The sequence below is a fragment of the Homo sapiens genome, chromosome 8 (genome assembly GCF_000001405.40).
Source record: "Homo sapiens chromosome 8, GRCh38.p14 Primary Assembly".
Lineage (NCBI taxonomy): Eukaryota > Metazoa > Chordata > Mammalia > Primates > Hominidae > Homo > Homo sapiens.
In genome coordinates, this window is record NC_000008.11 from 86,900,439 (window position 1) to 86,923,745 (window position 23,307).

Here is a 23,307-nt window from a genome sequence, read left to right on the forward strand (position 1 = left end):
GATCGTGACTCACATTCTTGTCCTTTTTTCCATTAAAAGTGAGGCTTCTAGCCCTGTGATTTTAATAAAATTTTTAAACTGTCTGATATCTAAATGCTGTACATTCTGTACCTGGATTTACATTAACAATTAACATTTTTACTTGCCTAATAGACTATAAACAGTGGGCCTGAAGTTTTACTTTTATTATTTCTAGCTACTATAACAATCCTAAAGATAGGAAGTCCTTTTCTAAAGATAAAAAAAAATGAAAGGTTTAAATACTTCATATAAGGTTACAGGACTTCAGTTTTATATGCAAATCAGATATTGATTCTCAAAGTAGGGAGAACTTAAGTTAGTTATTTCAGGGGAAGTAAACCTTTTATGACTGATCAATATCTCTCTAAGAGGTTTACATTCAATCTTGCAGTTAACTTTGTCAAACAGATCTTTAAATTTTCCTTCAGAACTTTATGAAAATGAAAAGTTTGAGATTAATCTTAATATTTAATTGCAATGGCATGTGGAACTTCTTTGAAAAAATATAATTTTGAAGGCATAAAATCATTGGCTAATGAGCTTTGTCCATGAATAAGGCTAGAAACTCACATTTCCAAAAAATTTTTAAATAAGAACAGAAGAGACTGAATAGCATGAAACTTTGTAGTGGCCTAATGTTAAATACACTGACATTTTTATGGAATGTTTATTTTTCAACTCATTGTAATAAAAGGATGACATACATTATGAAAATGTGTTTATATATGCAATATGCATATTGTATATATAAAATATAGAGTCAGCTTAATTCATACCAAATTGTACCTGCCTCCTTTATCAGGATATCACTTATATTTCTTTTAATTTTCATCAAATACATGTGTAGATGCTATGATATTTGTAAGACAAATTCAGGAGGAAACAATATATAAGTGAATGAATATATTCAACTTTTATGATTTGCCTTAGTTAACTTAAAATAAAAAATGTGAATTGCCTCGGGCAAACACATAAATATAATTAATCAATAAATATCTTATTAAAAGCTTATTATGTTTTCAGACCTGTGAGCAAAACTGAATGAGATGCAGAAGAAATATTGTATTAGGGTATTTCGGGCTGCTATAGATAAACACTAAATCTCAGTAGCTTTGCACAATATAATTTTATTTCTTTCCCACATAATGCTATAAAGGGGTGCTTTTCATTGACAGTTTGTTCTTTTAGTTTAGGAACTCAGGCCTCTACCAAACATTTGCTCTTCAGTCTTTATTGTGTGGCTTCCAGGGCCACCTTGGTCCTCTGCATCAAGCTGGATGGGAAAAGGACATTGAGAATCTTATGTGGAAGGATCTTTTTTGGCACATCCTTCTGCCTTCTCTTTCATATTCCACTGGGTAGAACTCAGCCATGAGAACATCGAGTAGACTAGCCTAGACCAGGGGAAGGGTGATCACTTAAAGCCTTTGGTAGTATTCCCTGACTGTATGACGTGTTACTTCCTGCCTTCTCTAATAGATTTTGCCTCTGATGAGAAATGGAAGACCCTTAATCTTAGAGCAAGACAATTGGAATGTGTTCACTCATTTTTCTACTTTATATAAGCGTAGGCAGGTAATTTAAACTTTATATGCATCATTTCCTTATCCATAAAATGACAAATACATTTCTAAATAATAATACATCCAAATCTAATATAGTCAGTGATTTTATATCTACCTTAAAGTCTTCTGTATGCTCCTCCAAACTTTATCTACTTTTTGGGTACACAGCTAGACTACATTTACCAACCTCCCTTGTAGTTAGAGAGACTGCATTTATCTTCAAATATAGTCACATTGGGTGTCAGAGCTTTAATATATACCTTTTTGGGAGTTGGGGGGGGAGCCATACAATCCATAGCAGTTATTAACATTTAAAAATAAGTCATTTTTACATGAGAGTACAGATCTCTGACTTCTGTAGAAAACTACAGGATCTGAATACACTGAACTTCTTTTAATACATGAGAAAAATGGTCTTAAGGGTGAGGTCACAGGTCCCTCCATGTGGGCATGCTCTTTTCAGCTTACCACAGTTCCCACCTTATGACACTTGCTTGGACACGATAAGCATTTAATTTTATAATCCCTGTATATAGAGAATCCTGAAAGTGTTCTAGAGTTCTGCTGTGTAAACCTATATATTTTGAATGTATTTCCCTTTCATCTGCTTGAGGAAGTTGGAGTTATTTTCTTATAGATGAGTTTATTGCAGGTAAGCTTCAATGAAGTGGCAACTTCTTTGTCCATGGGTAGGATTTACTCATAGCCTGGTAAATCACGAAAAACATCTTCAGGACAGAATTGAAGGGTCAGATAGGTATTTAGGTCCATGATCTACTCTCCAACTCTACCATAATGCTAAACATTTCTTTGTCCCTAGCATGCTAATTATTTTATGTTTCCCCTCAGCTACTTCTATATTCCATATTTAGATACATTTATTTACAGATTTCACATGGTTTTAGACAATAATACTTTTCTACTGAACACACAGACATATGTTGTTGTTTCAATGAGACCCTCAGAAGTAGGAATATGTTCCACATTACATTTTTGGGACATAGAATATAAATTATAGCATTACAGGCCATTTAGGGGCTCAATCTGAAAAATCATGTCATCTCTAGCTCTAGCATTTGACTCTTCCATTTCAACCTTCCACGTATTTCACTTCTTGGACACACTACTTTTGGAGACCCAGATCATAGACACTGAATCCATGTACATTACCCACCACATCTTGGAAATTCTTGAGAATTAGGTGAAGGAGGCAGCTAACTAAGGTTATACACATAAAGTGTATAAGTGTAACTAAGGTTATACACATAAAAAATGACTTGGGTAAAAGTCTTAGTATTTGGAAATAAATTTTTTATCCACTCCAAAGATGATCTATCCAGAGCACAAATTGGAATAGGATTCCAAATTTTGTAGTATAGGCTGCATATGTCTACACTTTTGTACTTCTTTGGACCTCAGTATCTTTTCAGGAACAAAATGGGTAGGAGTATCTAGTTAATACAGTTATGTAAGATGCATATACATTACTTAGAAGAGTGCCTGGCACATAGCAAGAACTAATGTGTTTTATTAAATGGGGGACAGAATATCCCAGAGGTTAAAATAATGGGTTTTGGAGTCAATTTAGTTTTCATTTGTACCGTATATCCTCCACTTCTTAGTTATATGAATTAGGCAAATTATTAAGGTTGCAGTTTCTTTTTGTGCAGAAGGGTCAATAAAGTATCTCAAATAAAGTATATTGTCAGGTTATATAAATGTGCAATAATACAAAACAGTGTAAAAGATCTTAGTACAATGATTCGAATATAACAAGTATCCAGTGAAAAACAGGTAGATGTGTAAAACAGATGATTGTAGAATGTGAGTTACAAACAGAATTTTTTTTTTTTTCCTGGGAAGCCTCTAATAAATCAGTGGTCAGATTTTAAAAAGATTCGATGCTTGGTGAATGTATCTATACACTGTGAGAAAGTGAATAAAAATGCCTAATATAGAAAATTACATCATATTGTGTTGTTTGAATCAATTATGTTACATGAAATAAGATTTTTAAAGTCTATAGAATTTGTCTTGTGTAAAGCATCAATATGGTGTTTTAGGAACATTATCCAAGAGAAGAAAAAGCTGTTATAAATATTTCAGAATGTGTTGTTATTATTTACAATGAAAATGAAAAAGACTTTTTAAAAAAGCCTTCTCTTGAGGATTTTGTTGTTCATTGTCATGCGGCAACTATTGGCTAAGATGTTTGTCAGTGTTCAATTTGAAGTATGATAATTTTTTATAATTATTGAAATAAGCTCTCAAGATGAATGTTTAGCATTTTTTAAAAAATTGACCAACTTTTCATGGTGTTGTCAATTGAAAATTGAATTAGGTGGATTTTCCAGAAACAAATATCATTACCTAACATTTAATGACAATGCTATTCTCTGAATCTTGCTTATTGGCATTTTTGGTATTTGCCATGAATCAAGGTGTAGCTACATATAAGAGTCATCCTGAGGAATAGATTTAAAAAAGAGAAGCCCACCCAGGGCTCTACTGTTGGAGTTTATGATTATCAATAAATGGATCAGAAATTTTTACTTACAAAAAGCATCGTAGGTAATTTCAGTGATCTGAATTTGGAAAATGCTCATCTTTTGTTCTTGTAACATATCTTTATTCTAGACCTAAAAAATACTGCCTGCGATTTTAACACATGATGGCAAAGATTCAAATAAATACTCTCTCTAGTAATGTAGATGTAAACTATTTTAAATAATTTCAGGGGGATTTTAATTCTGTAGTACATTATATAAAACTTTAATCAATTATAGAAATATGAGTTTTAAAAAGACTGAACTTCAAAAATTAAATTTTTGACATTGACATTATCATACATTATCATACATTTTGTATTTCTTAAAATGTTTCTCACTGAGATTTGGATATTTTTAAAGCACAAAATATTTATATTTTATATTTTTGTTAGTTGCTTCTTAGACTAAATAGTATAGAATTGATACGTATATATTGAGTTAAAAATCTTTCTCTTGGAAGCTGTTATCCTATGACACTTACAATTTAATTTCTCTCTTCTTTTTAAGCCGGAGTATGAGCAATATCTTATCAGCTCACGATACATTTATGAAGCAATATCCTAAAGTATTCCTGCACCAAAAACCCAGACTTCCTAAACTTTTCAAACAGGAGGAACAAAGGTAATGATACCTTCTTTTGAAAGCAAGGTTGATGGGTGTGTATGAGTGTGCTTGTGCTCACACAAGTTGAACTCAAAACTGAAAATATTTGACCAGTTTCAGTCAAATATTTAGTGTGGAGGGCTAGGGAGCAGCCAAGGAAACAGAAATTAGTTGGTAAGGGTAAATTCAATTTTTGTTCAGCAAAAATACGTGTCCACTGCTAAAGATCATATTTATTTAAACTTTTTATCAAAGAATTGTTGCCTTTTACTAATGAACGGCAGTGTTTATGAAAGGGATTAAAATATTCTACAGGGTTTCATGAGAAACTTCCCAATGGAAATGATTAGAGTGTTTGTGGGTGGAGGATATTTGGAGGTGTGTCATGTATCAAGGTATAAATCACAAAGTCATGGGGCACTGAAAGGCATTTGTGAAGCCTTTTTTACTGGGCTCCTGCTTCTAGGTGGACCTACATTTAGATGTGCTTTATGTATTTTTAAAGTCAAAGAATGAGATTACTTAAGGGTGTTGCGGAAGGTGTAACTGCCCTCTCAGTAAAGGATGAAGGTAGATTGCCAGATCACATTGTGATGCAGCTCCTCTCAAATTGTCCCTGGCTCCAGTGGAACTGTAAGTGTCTTATATCAGTGCAGTACCAGATCTAGAAAGGCATTTTCACTTCCTGGATATAGTTGTCTTTGTTGTTCCTTAAGTATCTTATAGTGGATATGGAAACCTCCTACTCCATACTATTCAAGTAGAGTTGATCTGTTCACATCCTTGGCTACCCCACTGCCATACTCCCTAATAACTTCTATTGCCATATCTGTAAGACTGTATTTTGCTTGTGTGTTTGCTAGTCAGTATTTTTATTTCTGACATTTAGCAGAGGGACTGACCTGTAATTGTGAATAGTAGATGTGTGTTGCCCCATGGGCAAACTGCTTACTGGCTGTGTAAGGGAGCTGATCAAGAATATGTTTTCATTTATTTATATCAATGATACAAATGTAAAAATTCAAACAAAATTATTGTAACAAATATGTCTCCAGGGGTTGGAAGATATCAGCATGAGAGACATAGATCTATTTCATTATCCTATACCTTTCTTTTCTTTATAGCCATAGGGCAGTATTATGTAAAACATACCATATTAGTTGACTGGGAAAAATCTCTGGGAGATGGAGTTGCTCTGCCTTTTCAAGAACAATTCTGTTAAATTAATAAAATCTTTTGAAAACAGAGATTCAAATATAACTTTTTCCAAGACTGTATCTATCATGTAGATCAAACTACATCCCTAGATGTACATACATCTGGAATGATCATACAATGCTTATACTGTGATTTATCAAGTTAACATCACTCTAAAAATATCTGATAAAAATACTTTGTACTTTTTGATTCCAAGTATACTCAATTTCTATTCTAATCTTGTTGATTAGAAAGAGACCTGTAAATGTAGCTCTGTCTATAGAATAAGGGACCAAGAGCTTTTATGGATAGCTGATATGATCATCTTGCCCTCATATTTATTCATTAATCTACCAGCAGTGGTCTGCTTCTTTAGTTAAGACATTAAACTTTGAGAGGACTTCAGGGAGGCACCCAGTGGCTGTCAACATACTTGGTAATGAAATACCATCTTCATATTTTTAAGAAAAGAGACAGATCCCAAATGTGTTTTAACAGTAAAACTGTGGTTTAAATGTGAAAATAAAGAGTGGACTGCCAAATACACAAGAACTAGGACGATACACTATACTAATTAAGATTTGTTTAAGTGTCTGAAAAGCCAATAAAATTAGCTTAAGAATCAAGGGGAATTTTAAGAATCACATTTTAGAAATGTTTTGCTGTAGAGCTAACTTCACCATTAAATGATGGCATTGGGACTCAGTTTCCTCTGTATCTCTGCCTCCTCTTTGCTGGGTTGGTTTCATCGTCACACATCATGTAATAGGTCTGGGAAGACCACATTCATTTATTTTACTGTTCAGGTGAGAATGGAGGTGTTCTGAAACAGGCCCAGCAGGAGATTCACTGAAATCTCTAAATTATATCATATCCCTGTATTGTCACTGTTGTGAATTTGCCAATCTTGAACCACATGCCCACCTGAAGAGTGGGGAATATTGTTGACACTATATGAAGCACATGGGATAAGATTAGAAGAGAGAAAGTGGAAGCTCAGAAGAAAATTAGGGGCCGGGCGTGGTGGCTCACACCTGTAATCCCAGCACTTTGGTAGGCCAAGGCGGGCAGATCACCTGAAGTTGGGAGTTTGAGACCATCCTGGCCAACATGGTGAAACCCTGCCTCTACTAAAATACAAAAAATTAGCCGGGCATGGTGGTGGGCACCTGTAATCCCAGCTACTTGGGAGGCTGAGGCAGGGGAATCACTTGAACCCAGGAGGCGGAGGTTGCAGTGAGCCAAGATTGCGCCACTGCACTCCAGCCTGGAGACAGAGCATGACTCTATCTAAAAAAAAAACAAAAACAAAAAAACAAAAAAAAACCCCTTAAACTGAATTAAATAGAATTTCCTAAAGTATATTAAGAAAATTGTGAATTTTCTTCTAAGCTTAGTATACATAGTTCCCACATTCAGTGTGATATATCTATAGATACCCTGATGATTGAAACTCAGCTTATGTAAATCCAAGAAATTTTTAAAGGAATAAAACTGATGAGGAAACTTTCATGTTAGCAGACATGAAATACCTACACTGTTAACATTTACACTATTACAGTTATTGATCAACAATATTTACCTGTTATCATTGTCATATATTTAACACTGTAATTCATTTAACACAAATATTATGTGACAGCTACAACAGCAAGTAAGGCACCTGCCTGGTTGTGGGCAGCTGGTGATGCCAGGTCATTTGATAAATATTGAAGGAAGACAGTCATGTTCAAGGAGAGTAGGAGAAATGCTACATAGAAATGTTAAGTCCATGTGGAGCAAGGCACACAGATGAAAATAAGCAGAAGACCTGGCTGAGACGTTGAGAAACAATTCTATATGGGCAAAAATTGAAGAATAGGATAAGAAGATGAAGTATTGCTTGGGACTTTGATCATTATTTAAAATTTATTTTATTCATGGATTGATAAGAAGGTAAAATTTTGGTATATTCATATATGTAGGAAATCAAATAGAAAAGAATCTGTGTTGTTTTAAAAAGAACACTCAGTGTTGACCCAGAAGACTTGGTTTTGTGTTTTTGTTTCACTCAATAGCAGAAACATGACTTTGAAGAAAGAAGTCTGTTAACTCACACTCAGGTTTTACTCAGAAAAGGGCAGACAATATTAATCCCCTACTTCAGAGTTATGCATTGAAAAAACTTTTAAATTGTGCTAGTTTTCATTATTATCATGCACTATAAATGGCAATGATGTTTTATGTACATTATACCATCTGTCAAGAAATTGACCTTTTTTCAAACAGATTAAACAACCGCAACAAAAAGAGGCAAACTTCACCTTATATAAAGTACCAGTATGTTTAAAGGGGGCTGTGAAATGAAATGATTTCCATATTCCAATGGCCAGATGAAATTAACAATGTTGTGATTATCATCATAAGAATTCTTTTTTTTTTTTTTTTTGTGCTGAGGGCAGGAGTGCAGTGGCCTGATCTCGGCTCACTGCAACCTCCGCCTCCCAGGTTCAAGTGATTCTCCAGCCTCAGCCTCCTGGGACTACAGGCACCCGCCACTACGCCCAGCTAATTTTTGTATTTTTAGTAGCGACGAGGTTTCACCATGTTGGCTAGGATGGTCTGGATCTCTTGACCTCGTGATCTGCCCGCCTTGGCCTCTCAAAGTGCTGGGATTACAGGCGTGAGCCACTGCGCGGGGCCAAGAATTCTTTTTGATGATACTGTACAATAATTGACTTACCTGTTCCCAATAAACATAATGGTCATTTTTTTTAAAACAACAACAACAAAATGTGATTGCCATTTTGAGCCATCTTAACTCATTACAGAAAGATGGGCCATAATCCAGATTTACATCTATATCTTATATTTAGAATACATAATTGTAAAGGTACTAATTTAAACAAAATGCTAGTTTTTATGTAAATAGGGAGCCCTTTTGCTTTCCACATATTCTATGCTTATTTTAGAACTTTCTTTTTCACAAAAATTATAACTTCACTAACTTTTGATATTTTCATTTACTTTTTAATGACAGTCTTGGAAGTATCGTAAAGCTAGATGGTTTCCTGAGAATAGTGCAGTTAAAGGGAATTTGGTAAATAGTTTACATTTTTTAAATGTAATTGTAACTTTCTACACTTGAAAAATTCCTAAATAAACATTGCAGTGTGGTTTTTTTTTTATTATACTTTCAGTTCTAGGGTACATGTGCACAACGTGCAGGTTTGTTACATATGTATACATGTGCCATGTTGGTGTGCAACATTGCAGTGATTTTTACTCAGAATATGTAAACTGCAGCTCAATCTGTTTGCCTTTGAACATTTACTCAAATTTATACTCTCCAAACTTTATTGTCAGTACTATGATGAGAAATATTTTTAAAATCTGAGAACCCTGGCTTAAGATAGAAAGTTATGATGCTTGTAGTTTAAATACATAGAAGAGAAACATTCTGCCGTCAAGAAATCTTCCGATTTTGTGTTAAATTGGACAGTATAACCACCCTTTTCTATATTGACATCCAACTGTTTCTTTTATTAATTAATCCAATTACTTACCAAGTAGCTATTATATAGCAGGCACTGTGCTAGTGTAGAGTAAGATGAATGTGGTCCTTGCTCCTCTAGAGTTTATGAGTCAGATCTTCTCAAGGGAGACAGCCTTAAGCAATAATCCTGCTAATAATAATTTAAGCACGATTTGTCTTCATGAATTCATCTTTCAGTTTTTAGATCGGATCATGAATTAGTCCAGGCTTTTAGTTGTAATCGAAATTGGACTCAAAGGAACATAAGTTCCTCTGAGGAACATTAAAAAAAAGTTGCCTATTGATTCGCCTAACCTACTGGAGGATGGGAAAAGCCAGCCTTAGAGAAAAGGGATACAAGATCTGGAGTGCTTGTCGGACTCTCTACTTCTCATCCCTGCTCATATTTGTAGATTATCCCAATTCCCTCTTGGTGATTGTGACCTTTCTCCGTGTGGCAGGGAACATGGTTACCAGGAACTTTGAACTTGTAACACCTGTAACACTGGAGAGAAAAAGGAATTTTTTTCAACCAGAATAATCCTGAAAAAGGATTGAGATTGGCTGCCCAGTGGCATAGAACCTGTTAGCAAAAGAAATGGGGGAGGGGGAGCATCCTGCACAAAGAAGATAGCCACTGTAAACAATGAGTGCTTTCCTAGGTGTAAGATAAATTAATACATATAGTCACAGTAAAATTGCTACATTGTTTACTTCAATACATTTAATATCTACCCTTTAAGCAATAAGAAAAGACATAGATTTTTAATCAATGTGTGTTTAGGTCAGTTTATGTCAGGAGTGAAAAAGAAATGAAGTGGAGTCATTGTCTGGGGTAATACCCAAGGTTTGTTCCATGACCACGGAAAACTAGGACGTGGACACAACAGAGTGAGGTTAAGAGCAGAGGTTTAATAGACAAAAGAAAGGGAAAAGTTCTCTCCTGCAGAGAGACGGGGTCCCAAGTGGGTCTTCTGGTCCCCAGTGAAGTGCAGGAGGTTTTATAGATGAGCTTGAGGAGGTGGTGTTTGATTTACACAGGGCACAAAAAATTGGTCGGATCAGGTATGCTATTTACATAACACGAAGAACTGGTTAGGATTAGTTGTGCTGTTTGCATATCCCACGAAGAAGCTGGCTACCTCACCCTAATCTTTTATTATGCAAAAGGATTCTCTACCTCACCATGTTGCCTGCTTTTCTACTGTACATGTGGTGACAAAGAAAAGGGAAGATGGAGCCTCCATGTTGAACATACCTGGTTTCCAGGTAGCCCTTTTCTATTGGCACAGCTGTTGGCATTCACCCATGCAAGCTTTTAGCTTGCTTATCTATGTTTGCAGCTGGATTACTTTCAGGCTGCTCTTTGTTAGAAAAGAAATTATTTGGGGGCTGCTTTTTGTTAAAAGGCAAGCCTTGCTGAGGACTCCTTCACCCTCACTATCTGCCTAAATAATTTCTTTTTAGCTCCCATATCAAAAGTTTAAGGAAATGTTAGTAATTGAGGAAACAAATAGTAAGCATCCAAAGAATTATGGAAACCTTTGTTAAAAATGTATTTATTCAAAATGTGGCTTTTTATTGATACATAGTAGATGTATGTATTTTTGGACATGTGATATTTTGATAAATTTATATTGTGTATAATAATCAAATCATGGTAGTTGAAATATTTATTACCTTAAACATTTATCTATGCTGGGAACATTTGAATTATTCTCTACTAGCTATTTTGAAATATACAGTAGATTATTGCTTACTGTAGTCACAAAGAAAGAAGTGATATTATCCTTGTTCATAAATGACATGAGCTTATATTTAGAAAACCTTAAAGATTCCATCAAAAACTGTTAGAAATGATAAAATAATTCAATAAAATTGCAGGATACAAGAGCAACGTAAAAAATCAGTAGCATTTATATATGCCAACAGCAAACAATCTGAAAAAGAAATCAAGAAAGCAATCCCATTTACAATAGACACAAAAATTGTAAAATGCCTAGGAAAATATTTAACCAAAGAAGTTAAAGATCTCTACTAGGAAAACTATAAATTTTAATGCTGATGAAAAAAATTAAAGAGGACACAAAAAAGTAAGAAGATATTCCATGCCCCGGACTGCAAGAATAATATTATTAAAATGTCAGTATTACGCAAAATGTGACATTTTTATGGGGGTGGAAATTGAAGTATTTACAAAGAAGGCTGCTTACTTGTTATAATTTTATTTGACTTTTATAAAAATGTTATCAGATTTTGACCATTTTAGTTCCAGAAGGGGTTAGTCAGCATTAAAATATCAAAAAAATTTTAAAAAATTCAGATTAACTTTAACAATGTATAGTATTTGTACTAGATTGGTAGATATTAGGCAAAATGTTTATCAATGAGGGGTACATTTTTCTAAAGGGTGCAGACCAAAAATAATGTGGCAGAAGCTAAGGGGAAACCAATGATGTATTTGAATTATTAGCTATAATACTTCTTCCAATATGCAGTCATGCACTGCATAACAACATTTCAGCCAACAGTGGATCACATATACCATGGTGGTCCCATAAAATTAAAATGGGGCTGAAAAATTACCTATCACTCAGGGACTTCATAGCTGCCTGTAATGTCATACTTTAACATATTACTTATGTTTTTATGATGATGTCAATGTAAACAAATCTATTGTGCTGCCAGTTATATAAAAATATAGCACACACAATTATGTATAGTACATAATACTTGATAATGATGACTAAAGACTATATTATTTATGTATTTACTATAACTTTTATTGTTATTTTAGAGTGTATTTATTCTATTTATATTTTAAAAAAAAGGTTAATTGTAAAACAACCTCAGACAGTCCCTTCAGGAGGGATTCCAGAAGAAGGCATTGTTATCATAGGAAATGACAGCTCTGTGTGTGTTATTGTCCCTGAAGACCTTCCAGGGGGACAAGACATGGGTGTGGAAGACAGTGATATCAATGATCCTGACCCTGTATAGGCCTAGGCTAATGTTTGTAATTGTGTATGTGTAACAACAACAAAAAGAGCTTAAAAAGTAAAAATAAAAATAAAAAATTTTAAAAATAGAAAAATGCTTATAGGATAAAGATAGAAACAAAGAGCATATTTTTGTACAGCTGTACAATGTGTGTTTTAAGCTAAGTGTTTTTGCAAGAGTAAAGACATTAAACACAATGAAAAATCTTATAAAGTCAAAATGTTACAATAAGCAAAGGGTAATTTGTTATTGAAGAAAGAAAAATATTTTACAAATAAATCTAGTGTAGCCTAAGTGTACAGTGTTTTTAAATTCTGTATTCACATACAGTAATGTCCTACTCACTCACTGACTCACCCAGAGCAACTTCCACTACTGCAGGCTCCATTTAAGGGAAGTGCCCTTTACAGATATACCATTTTACATTGTTAATCCTGTATTTTAATTTAGCTCTACCTTTTTTGTGTTTAGATATGCTTAGATACGTAAATACTTACCATTGTTATCGGGGGAACCTGCCCCCGATAATTCTTCATTATTTCACATAGGTTATTTTCTATTTTCCCTAAGTGTTGGCTGGTCTGAGAAATAAAGGGAAAAAGCACAAAAGAGAGAAATTTTAAAGCTGGGTGTCTGGGGGAGACATCACATGTCGGCGGGTTCTGTGATGCCCCCTGAGCCATAAAACAAGCAAGTTTTTATTAGCAATTTTCAAAGGGGAGGGAATGCACAAATAGGGTGTTGTTCACAGAGATCACATGCTTCAAGGGCAACAAAAGATCACAAGGCAGAAGGTCAGAGCGAAACTAGCATCACTAATGAAGTAGACTTGTCCCGCTGTGCACGCATTGTCAGGGTTCAAGAGCAGAGAACCTGTCTGAGTAGAATTCGCCAGGCTGGAATTTCCTAATCCTAGCAAGCGTGGGGGTGCTGCAGGAGACTAGGGTGTGTTTCATCCCTATCTACATCTGCATAAGGCAGAACCTCCCAGGGCAGCCATTTTAGAGGCCCCGCCCTGGGAATGCATTCTTTTCCCAGGGTTGTTAATTATTAATATTCCTTACTGGGGAAATAATTCAGTGATATTTCTCTTACCCGTTTTCAGTCATAAGAGAAATATGGCTCTGTCCCACCCAGCCCACAGGCAGCCAGACTTTAAGATTATTTCCCTTGTTCCCTGAAAATCGCTGTTATCCTGTTCTTAAGGTGCCCAGATTTGTTATTGTTCAAACACACATGCTTTACAATTTGTTCAGTTAACGCAATCATCACAGGGTCCTGAGGCGACATACATCCTCCTCAGTTTATGCAGATGACAGGATTAAGAGATTAAAATAAAGACAGACATAGGAAATCACAAGAGTATTGATTGGGGAAGTGATGAATGTCCATGAAATCTTCACAATTTATGTTCTTCTGCCATGGCTTCAGCCAGTCCCTCCGTTCAGGGTCCCTGACTTCCCGCAACACATTGTGTTGCAATTGCTTATAATATTTGGTACAGTAACATGCTGTACAGGTTTGTCGCCTAGAAGCCATAGGCTATACCATATTAGCTTAGGTGTATAGCAGGCTATACCATTTATGTTTGTGTAAGCACGCTCTATGATGTTTACCCAATGACAGAATTTCCAAATGATGCATTTCTCAGAAAGTATCCCTATCATTAGTCAACATATGACTGTATTCAGATTACTCAATTAATCAAAATGAAAGTTGGTTAATTTTGAAGAAAATGTTAAATTAAAAGTCAGATATATAATATTAAGTGAAGAAGTTTCTTTTTGTAAAGAGTTAAAAGCAAAAATGAAAAAAATCTTGAATGATATCTACCTAATCTACACTTCCCTTAAGCTATATACTTAACAAAATCAATATTATTTTATCTAAAGTGCACTCTCAGAAAGAAAAAAGAGCAGAATAGTTGATTAATATGAATTGAATGCTTGAGCAAATGTATCAAATGGAATAGTAAAGAAGAAACATGCTTAACTCAAAATGGCACATGTCTAGCATAGAAAAAAGATTGTAATTATAACCGCCCAATGGGTTCTTCTTGCCTGTTGCCCAGATAGAGCCAATTTATCAAGGCAGGGAAATTGCAGTAGAGAGTTTAATACACGCAGAGCCACCTGAACAGGGAACCACAGTTGTATTATTACTCAAATCAGTTTCTCAGAGAATTTGGGGGCTAGGGTTTCTCAAAGGTAGTTTGGGGGAAGGGTTGTGGGTGGTTAGGAAATGAGTGCTTGCTACTGATTGATTGTGGATGCAACCATAGGAATGTGGGAAATGGTCCTCCTGTGTGCTGAGTAGCTTCTGGGTGGGGCCACAGGAGCAGTTGGTGGGTCCTGGTAGAGCCATAGGTCACTGGACATGCAAAAAGCCTGAAAAGACATATCAAAAGGCCAATTTTAGATTCTACAATAGTGATGTTACCTTCAGGTATAATTGGAGAAGTTGCACGTCTTGTGACCTCCAGCATAGTGGCTGGGAATTGCTTATGTCTACACCTTAGCTGAATTCAGTCTCCTCTATCCTCCTAGGTTTGTGGTCTCCCATTAGCTTTACAAATGCAGTTGAGTTTTGGGGAAGGGCTATTATCATTTAAACTATAAACTAAATATCTCCCAAAGTTAGCTCGGCCCATGCCCAGGAACAATTAAGGGCAGCTTGAAGGCCAAAGGCAAGATGAGTGTTGCCCAGATCAAACTTCCTTCAGTGCCATAATTTTCTGTTATAATTTTTGCAATGGTGGTTTCATAATGATATATTCATATACAATTAACTTTCCAGACAAGATGTGTAAGAACTCTTTGGAAATTCAGATGAGTACTGGAATCCAGCTAATAATTAAGAGTGCATTAGAGTGAATGTGCATTGCCTTGACATATAGTGTCTATTTTGCCACTCAGTAACTATATGACTTTGGAGAAGTCAATCTATCTGGGCATTAGTTACCTTATATCAAAAATAAAATGCTCGGGTAGATGACAGTCAATTCTCCTTTTAGCTCTATTAATCTAAGGTTCCATTTTCTAGTTGATGTTACAGATACTGTAGGGAGAGAAATATATGTAATGAAGATAATATTTTTGTATTAACTTTTGATGTATCTTCCCTTATGAGTATTTCCTTCCCTGTATCCCATGTGCCATCATGGTCTCAGAGAAAAGAGCAGGAAAAATATTACTTTAAGTAGGAGGAAGATATAAAATGGAGGTGTTACTGGTGGCAAATCTGTTCGGGTCTGCAGCAACCTCAATGCTTGTCTCCTCAGGAGAGAGAATTTGACTAAGGGGCATGAGGCAGAAGGAGAGACTGAGGCAAGTTTTAGAGCAGGAGTGAAAGTGTATTAAAAAGTTTCAGAGCAGGAATGAAAAGACGTAAAGTACACCTGGAAGAGGGCCAAGTGGGCAACAGGAGAGATCAAGTGCACTGTTTGACCTTTGACTTGGGGTTTTATACGCTGGCATACTTCTGGGGTCTTGCATTCCTTCTCCCCTGGTTCTTCCCTTGGGGTGGGCTGTCTGCATCCACACTGGCCTGCTAGCACTTGGGAGGTGAGCATGCACAGTGTGTTTACTAGAGTTGTATGCGTGCTCTCTTGAGGCATTCTTCCCTTACCACTTGAGTGTCCCTAGAAAGTCATATACCTGTTAAACTCTGCCATTTTACCTCATTATGTGTACGTGTAAGTCTACTTCACCCAATTCCTGGGATCTTATTGGAAAACTGCTGATTACTAGTTTCAGGTTTTTTTCTATCTTTTGGGAGCCTGCCTTTCTCTGGTGCTGGCTGCAACATTATTATTTTATTTTTTATTTTTTTTTTGAAATAGAATCTCACTCTGTCACCCAAGCTGGAGTGCAGTGGTGCAAACTTGGCTCACTGCAACCTCTGTCTTCTGGGTTCAAGCCATTCTCCTGCCTCATCCTCCTGAGTAGCTGGGATTACAGGTACCCACCACCATGCCCAGCTAACTTTTTTTTTTTTTTTTTGAGACAAGATCTCACTCTGTCACCCAGACTGGAGTGCAGTGGCACAATCTTGGCTCACTGCACCCTCCACCTCCTGGGTTCTAGTGATTCTCATGCCCCAGCCTGTCAAGTAGCTGGGACTACAGGCAAGCACCACCGTGCCCAGCTAATTTATGTATTTTTTAGTAGAGATGGGGTTTCACCATGTTGGCCAGGCTGGTCTTGGTCTCTTGACATTGTGATCCAGCCTGGTGACAGAGCGAGACTCTGTCTCAAAAAAGAAAAAAAAAGAATATCTAGATAGTTATTGAGGAAGCTGCACCTTCTAGGACAATGATAATCAACTTGAACTACATATTAGAATCACCTTAGGAGTTTTGAAAAATACTAATGCCAGATCTGTGTCCACTGACATTATGTAAATTGGAGTCCTTGGCTTCAGGCTAGGACCTTAGTAATTAAAAAATAACTTTTAGGTGATTATTGAAAATTACTGCTGTACAGGAAGACCTAAATTGGGCTCAACAGAACATTCAACATGAAGAGAGAATAGTACAGAACTGGTGGAGACAGATGTCTTGTGATCTACCTCGAGTTAGTGCCATTAGATCCACTTGGTCTGTGTCTAGCTTGCACTGAGGGGGTCTAGAATTTCCCATGAACACTGGTAAGGGTAGAGTGAGTTGCCAGTAGGACTGATGGGTGGTAGGACTCTGGGGAGGGGAAGACCAAGCTGCTGAGTCAGGAATCTGATGACGTGAGGAGAAGAGAGTTAAGAGTGGATGCAGAAGCAGAAAAATCCATTCATTCCTAAGTAGATACCAATCCAGAGCCAACCTGCTGGCCACTCTGCAACAGGAACATGATGATGATCAGCTGATAGCTTCCTCTCTCCAACTACAATCATGTAAGCAATCCAGCCCTCCCCCAACACACACCCAAACCAAGTCCAGAAAAAGATATGAAATTTACAGAAAATTGTTAAAACAGCCTTTATTTACCTGACAGAAACAAAGTTATTCTAAATTATACTTTTTCAAATTAGTGAGACTGAGATACCATAAAATGGTATTGGAGGAAGAGGATCTGTGAGCTCATGAGAAAGTTTTAGTTTCTTTATAGAAAGTAAACTATTTTCTTTGTACATCTTAGCATTTAAGTAAATTTTCAATACCACTAATCTATTTAGCTATTAAAATACTTATTTAAACTATATCCTTTTAAAGGGGAATAGAGTAAAATGCCTTTTAAATATGAGAAGCTGCAGAGGATACTGTCTCTTTAAAACATGCAATCCTAATTGCCCACCTCTCAGGATGCATAATGGTTGTAGCATAGTTAGCACGGATTCTGTCATGACTTAAAAAAAAATTTGTAAACATGCTTTCTTAAAGATGCATCATACACTCTTCTTTTAGTGAATGGAAGTGTTTGACAGAAAAACACCTGTGTAAGCAAACTTTGAGAATATGTTATTAGAACATGTTTCTTTCCTCACTGGTTCATATTACACAGGTTTACATCTGCTGCTACAAAAGGTAAGTGTAAGCATGCTGATATGATTTGGTTCTGTCCCCACCCAAGTCTCATCCTGAATTGTAGCTCCCACAATTCCCATGTGTTGTGGGGAGGACCTGGTGGGAGATTATTGAATCATGGGAGCCGTTTCCCCCATACTGTTCTCATGGTAATGAATAAGTCTCATGAGATCTGATGGTTTTATAAGGGGTTTCCCCTTCTGCTTGGCTCTAATTCTGTCTTCTGTGCTGCCACATAAGACATGCCTTTTGCCTTCTGCCATGATTGTGAGGCCTCCCCAGCCAGATGGAACTGTGAGTCCATCAAATCTCTTTTTATTTATAAATTACCCAGTCTTGGGTATGTCTTTATCTGCAGTGTGAAAACAAACTAATACACATGCTATCTTTCTTTAAAAAAAAAAAAAAAAAGATTTAGGGAGTAAAAGTGCAATTTTGTGTAGGCATCACCCACATAGTGTACACTGTACCCATTACATAGTTTCTTTTTCCTAGCCCCGCCTTTCTGAGTCTCCAATGACTATTATTTCACTCTATGTTCATGTGAACACATTATTTAGCTTCTACTTGTAAGAACATGTGGTATTTGATTTTCTGTTTCTGAAAATATCATGCTTTTTTTTTTAAAAAAAAAGAGAAAGGCAATTGGAACTTTAATTTTGCCCCTATAAAAATGAAATGTCATGTATCAACAAGACTGAAAAATAAACAATCCTCTCATGCCCTCAGCAGTTAACCCTAACTATAGAAGACAAAACGATGTAAACAAAGAAATACACATAGGATTCATTCATATTGGGATCCAGAAATACATATTGTGGATGACAGTGGCATACACACTCCTTTTGGTGTTAAGAGGAAACCTTTAGACAAATTAAATATGTAACAGTTTATTTGAGCAAAGAATGATTCATGAATCAGGCAGTACTCAAAACTAGAAGAGGTTTGGAGAGCCCCAACCAGCCATGTGAGCAGTGAGTTCTTATAGGCCAAACAAGGGAGCAAAGTGTAGAAATTACCTGATTGACCAGTAAGGTATCTGCCTTATTTGCAAATGGTGTGATAAAACATCTGCCTTTATAGCACGATTCAATCAGTTGACTCCCTGTGATTGGCTGAAGCTTAGCTGTTTGTGATTGGCTAAAATCCAGCTGTTTGTTACAAAACGTATACTCCTGAGTTAGGTTTCTGTTTGTTTACACACAAAGTTAAGTTGTGGTTTGTTGATTAGGAACTCAAAGTACTGAGACAGCCTCAGGCTAGTGGCCTCCTGCTTGTTTAATTTAACAATGGGAATTTATTATTAAAAGGTAATTATTAACTATTTAGAGGTAGAATTACTAGGCAGTCAATGACAGAAAGCTGACTTTGCTGTCAAAGTGACTTTCAATAAACTTCAGATTAGTGTTTTTCAAACTTTAATATGTGCACAGATCTCCTGGGGAGCTTATTAAAATGCAGATTCCAATTCAGAGGGTCTTGAGTGTGGCCTGAGATTCTGTGTTTCTAACAAGCTACCAGCTGATCCTAATGATACTGGTTCATGGACCACAATTTGAACAGCAAGTTTACTGTTTGATATGTTTCTTTTTCTTTCAGAATGTGAAAAAAAAAAGTCACCAAACTGTAACTTTTCTATTGGGAAAAGTTTCTACTGGGAGAATTTAGCCCACATTTTAAAGCATTAATTCATTCATCTAAGGGCTTATTTCAATGAGATAAACTACAAAGCTGTGTATGATCTTTGGTCATAATATACTTGATTTATTAAATTTAGCAACCAATCGCATGTTGCACTTAATGTGCATAGCATGTCTGTTTGAAATTTTTTTGGTATATTTTAATTTAGGATCTTTTAAAGAAGTCCAACCAGTAGTTATTATCTTAAAAAGTTCCATTTTAATTAGGTACTAAATCAGATAAGAAAAAGAGAGAAAGAGGTAGCTTGCTAAGTTTAGGAGTTTCCAGGCTTGTAACTTAACCAGGTAATGGTAGTATTTTGTAAAATCATTTTCTCTTAGTTTGTGTTATATAACTTACAATAATTTGGAAGGCAGCTATGGCCACCACTATACCACCAACACAGAACTTAATAATTTGAACAGAGGAGAACAAAAGAATTTTGGCAATGTGCATATTGTATGCTCCCTCTCCCACTAGCCCCAGAACTCCACTGGCTACTCTCTAATATGCCAAAGGCAGCCTGACCCAAGGAAGTCTGTTGGGAATGTTTCTCATGGGCTCAGAAGTCTGTATGCTCAGTCACCCAAATTGCCAGTCATACCAAAAGCTGTCAAAGTACGTTTTAGGCAAAAAATTGATACATAAGTTTGGATTTTAGATTCTAAAGAGGCTAGGACATCCCAATTGCTCGAATTAAAGAATTTTACTGAGAATTTTACTTCTGGATCTAAAAGCAGTAAACATGTAGCTTTGATCTGGGTTAAAATGATGAAGGGCTTCTCTGTAATACTCATTTTTTTTTCCCAAACACATTTTAAGACAATCATTGGTATAGTGTATGCATAGTCTAGATGGCCTATAAATTCTCTCTAAATGTGTGAGAGCAGAAAATGTTCAAAAGTAAAGATGAATATTTGGAGATGAAGCAACTGAAAACCTAGAGCAAATGGATTCTGATAGACTTAAAAAAAATCTCTGCAAAATTGCATTTTGAACTTGTGAGTCCCTTTTGAGTTTTTGCACTTAATTTCTTTCTCTAGCATAGCTGAAATTACCCATATGATACAGCTACATCTAAGTGTACTTATTTCATGCTAGTGTGGATCTGGCCTCAGGATAAATAATAAATGTTTGAACCATAGGCTCTTTGAAAATATGTATTTAACATTAGAATAAATGAAATTATTCTTGTTATGACTATAAAACCCATATTTTCTCTGAGCTCCAAGGTCTGTTGAATGAGATGCTCCTTGTGTTTTTTTTTAAGTCAGCCCTATAGTTATTGTTTTACCAATTTATTCTAAAAAATAAAAATAAAACTTACACTATCTGAAAAGAAACCTCACAATAATACTGTATTAGTCTGTTCTCACACTGCTAATAAAGACACAACTGAGACTTGGTAATTTTTAAAGCAAAGAGTTTTCATTGACTCACAGTTCCACATGGCTGAGGAGGCCTCATGATCATGGTGGAAGATCAAGGGACATCTTACATTGTGGGAGGCAAGACAGAATGAGAGCAAAGTAAAAGGGGAAATGCTTTATAAAACCATCAGATCTCCTGACACTTATTCACTACCACAAGAACAGTATGGGGGAAACTACCTCCATGATTCAATTATCTCCCACCAGGTCTCTCCTACAACACATGGGAATTATGGGAACTACAATTCAAGATGAGAGTTGGGTGGGGATTCAGCCAAACTATGTCAAATAACCTGTCATTTGTTTATTCAGTAAGACAATATACACTGAGCACCAACTGTGTGCTAAGTGCAAGTCAGAGAGGGCCTCTGTGCTCAGAGCTTGGTGGTGCTGACAGGGTCTGAGTAAGAGGTGGTAAGTGCAGTGTAGGGGGTGTCAGAGGAAGACTTCAGGGCAGGGGTAGTTGCATTGAGAGTGCTTACATTGAGGGCAGATGGTGTACTGGAAGATCAGAGAAGCAGAGGAGGCTTTCTTGAGGAAGGAATGTTTAAGTTGAAGGATAAGAGTTGTCCAGAAGAAGAGAAAGATTATCTGAGGCAAAAAGAACCATATCTGATAATTCTTCATGTTGTTGATTATCTAAATGCTGTCAAAGCCACCTTAGCTGATACTCTAATTGCCCAAGTTGGTAGTTGTCACCAGAAACTTGTTGAAAAAATTTTTTTCAAAACCTTTAAATGATCTCCCCCATGGGTGTCAAGATGGGAGTGATGGCTTGAGGTGGGAGAGGAGACAAAAAGGAAGAAAGGAAGAGAAAGAGAAGAAAGAGAAATAAAAAAGGCAAGGCGAGGGAGAAGTGGACATGCCAGGTCATAGGAGCAATATTTGGACCTTTTGGAAGTTTTATGAAGGAAGGAAGAAGAAAGTTTGTATTAATAGAAATCTAACATTGTCTCTGCCATGCTTTGGTCTTGTCCTTTGTACCCCAAATTAACCCCTCTACCATGACATAAAAAGGAAAGCCTGGATGGCTTGGGGTATTATTGTAGCCAAGTGATGACAATTTGTACAAATTGGCTACAGGCATAAGATTTGCTTGCAGTAAAGTGGAAAGTTACAAGAAAGTTTCAAGTCTGAGTTAAAAAAAAATCCACTTATGATGATAACTGCCACTGAGTAATGGTAGATTATGCTAAAAGGAAGGTACTTTCGTTTTATGCTTCCTTCCTGATTGCTTTGGTTTGAAGCATCTGGGTATAGGTGCTGAGAAGGGGTGAATTGCTCTGCCTGGTAGAGATGTTCTAATTTAGAGTCACGGAGCAACCAGGAGTGAAGAAATTCAGAGAAAAAGAGGACAGGAAGGAAGCAAGAGGAGCCAGGAAATGATTGAAGAAAGGTATGCACTAAGTAAGGAGAAACTACAATGTTGGGGATGGGGGTGAGAACATTTTAAAAAAGAACTGTTAATGGATTTCAAGTATGTTGTAATATGTGATACTGTTACCAGAAGGAGGGCCTTGAGAGTGAGTTCTCCAGGTCCTTGGCGTTTTTAACAAAGAATTGGACAAAACACACAAATAAGGTAACAAAGGAACAAAACAGCGAAGGCAGTGATTTAATAAAGCGAGAAAGCACTCCACAGGGTGGGAGTGGACCCGAGCAGGCGGCTCAAGGGCCCAGTTACAAAGTTTTCTAAGTTTGAAGTACTCCTTTTGAAGTCCCTATCAGTTATCCTTGTCTCGATGAAGGTCTTGTCTGTGGCTAATTAAAGGCTGAGGTGAATTGGAGTCCTATGCAGATGAAGGGATGGTCCCCGCTTGGCCCACAGCCATTCCAGGGCACCTTCCCTTTCTATCTGAGACATGGTGGAAGGGAGGGTTGTAGGGAGAGTAGCCTTTGATCCTTGCTACTTGGGCATGGGGAGATACGGTTTTTCCTTTTAGTTTAACTTTTGGAAGCTGGTGTTAATTGGTCTTAGGGTCCCTGCCCCTAGACCCAGGTGTTTTCCTTTTGACCCAGCTTTGGGAAATCAGCACAGATTGGACTCAGATTCCCCGCCCCCAGCCTTTGGTGTTTTCTCTTTTAAGAAGTCAGCACAAATTGGCCTTAGATTCCTTGCCTCCAGACCCCATTCTCCTGCCTCAATGCAACATCTCTTCAGGATATCCTCAGTATTTGGTAAATTCTAATTTCAAGTGCTCTGCATGGTTGCTTTCATTTAGTTCAGTTT

At 36.5% G+C, this 23,307-nt stretch overlaps 1 protein-coding gene across 4 annotated transcripts in view; it reads left to right on the forward strand.

Moving 5' to 3' along the window:
* The window catches only part of CNBD1 (cyclic nucleotide binding domain containing 1), a 562,238-nt gene that overhangs the window by 34,024 nt on the left and 504,907 nt on the right, over positions 1–23,307 (forward strand). For all 4 annotated transcript variants that reach the window (NM_173538.3, XM_047421411.1, XM_024447082.2 and 1 more), the window contains one exon: positions 4,643–4,756. In NM_173538.3, coding sequence (NP_775809.1) covers positions 4,643–4,756 — 114 coding nt within the window. The remainder of the gene's footprint in view (positions 1–4,642; positions 4,757–23,307) is intronic.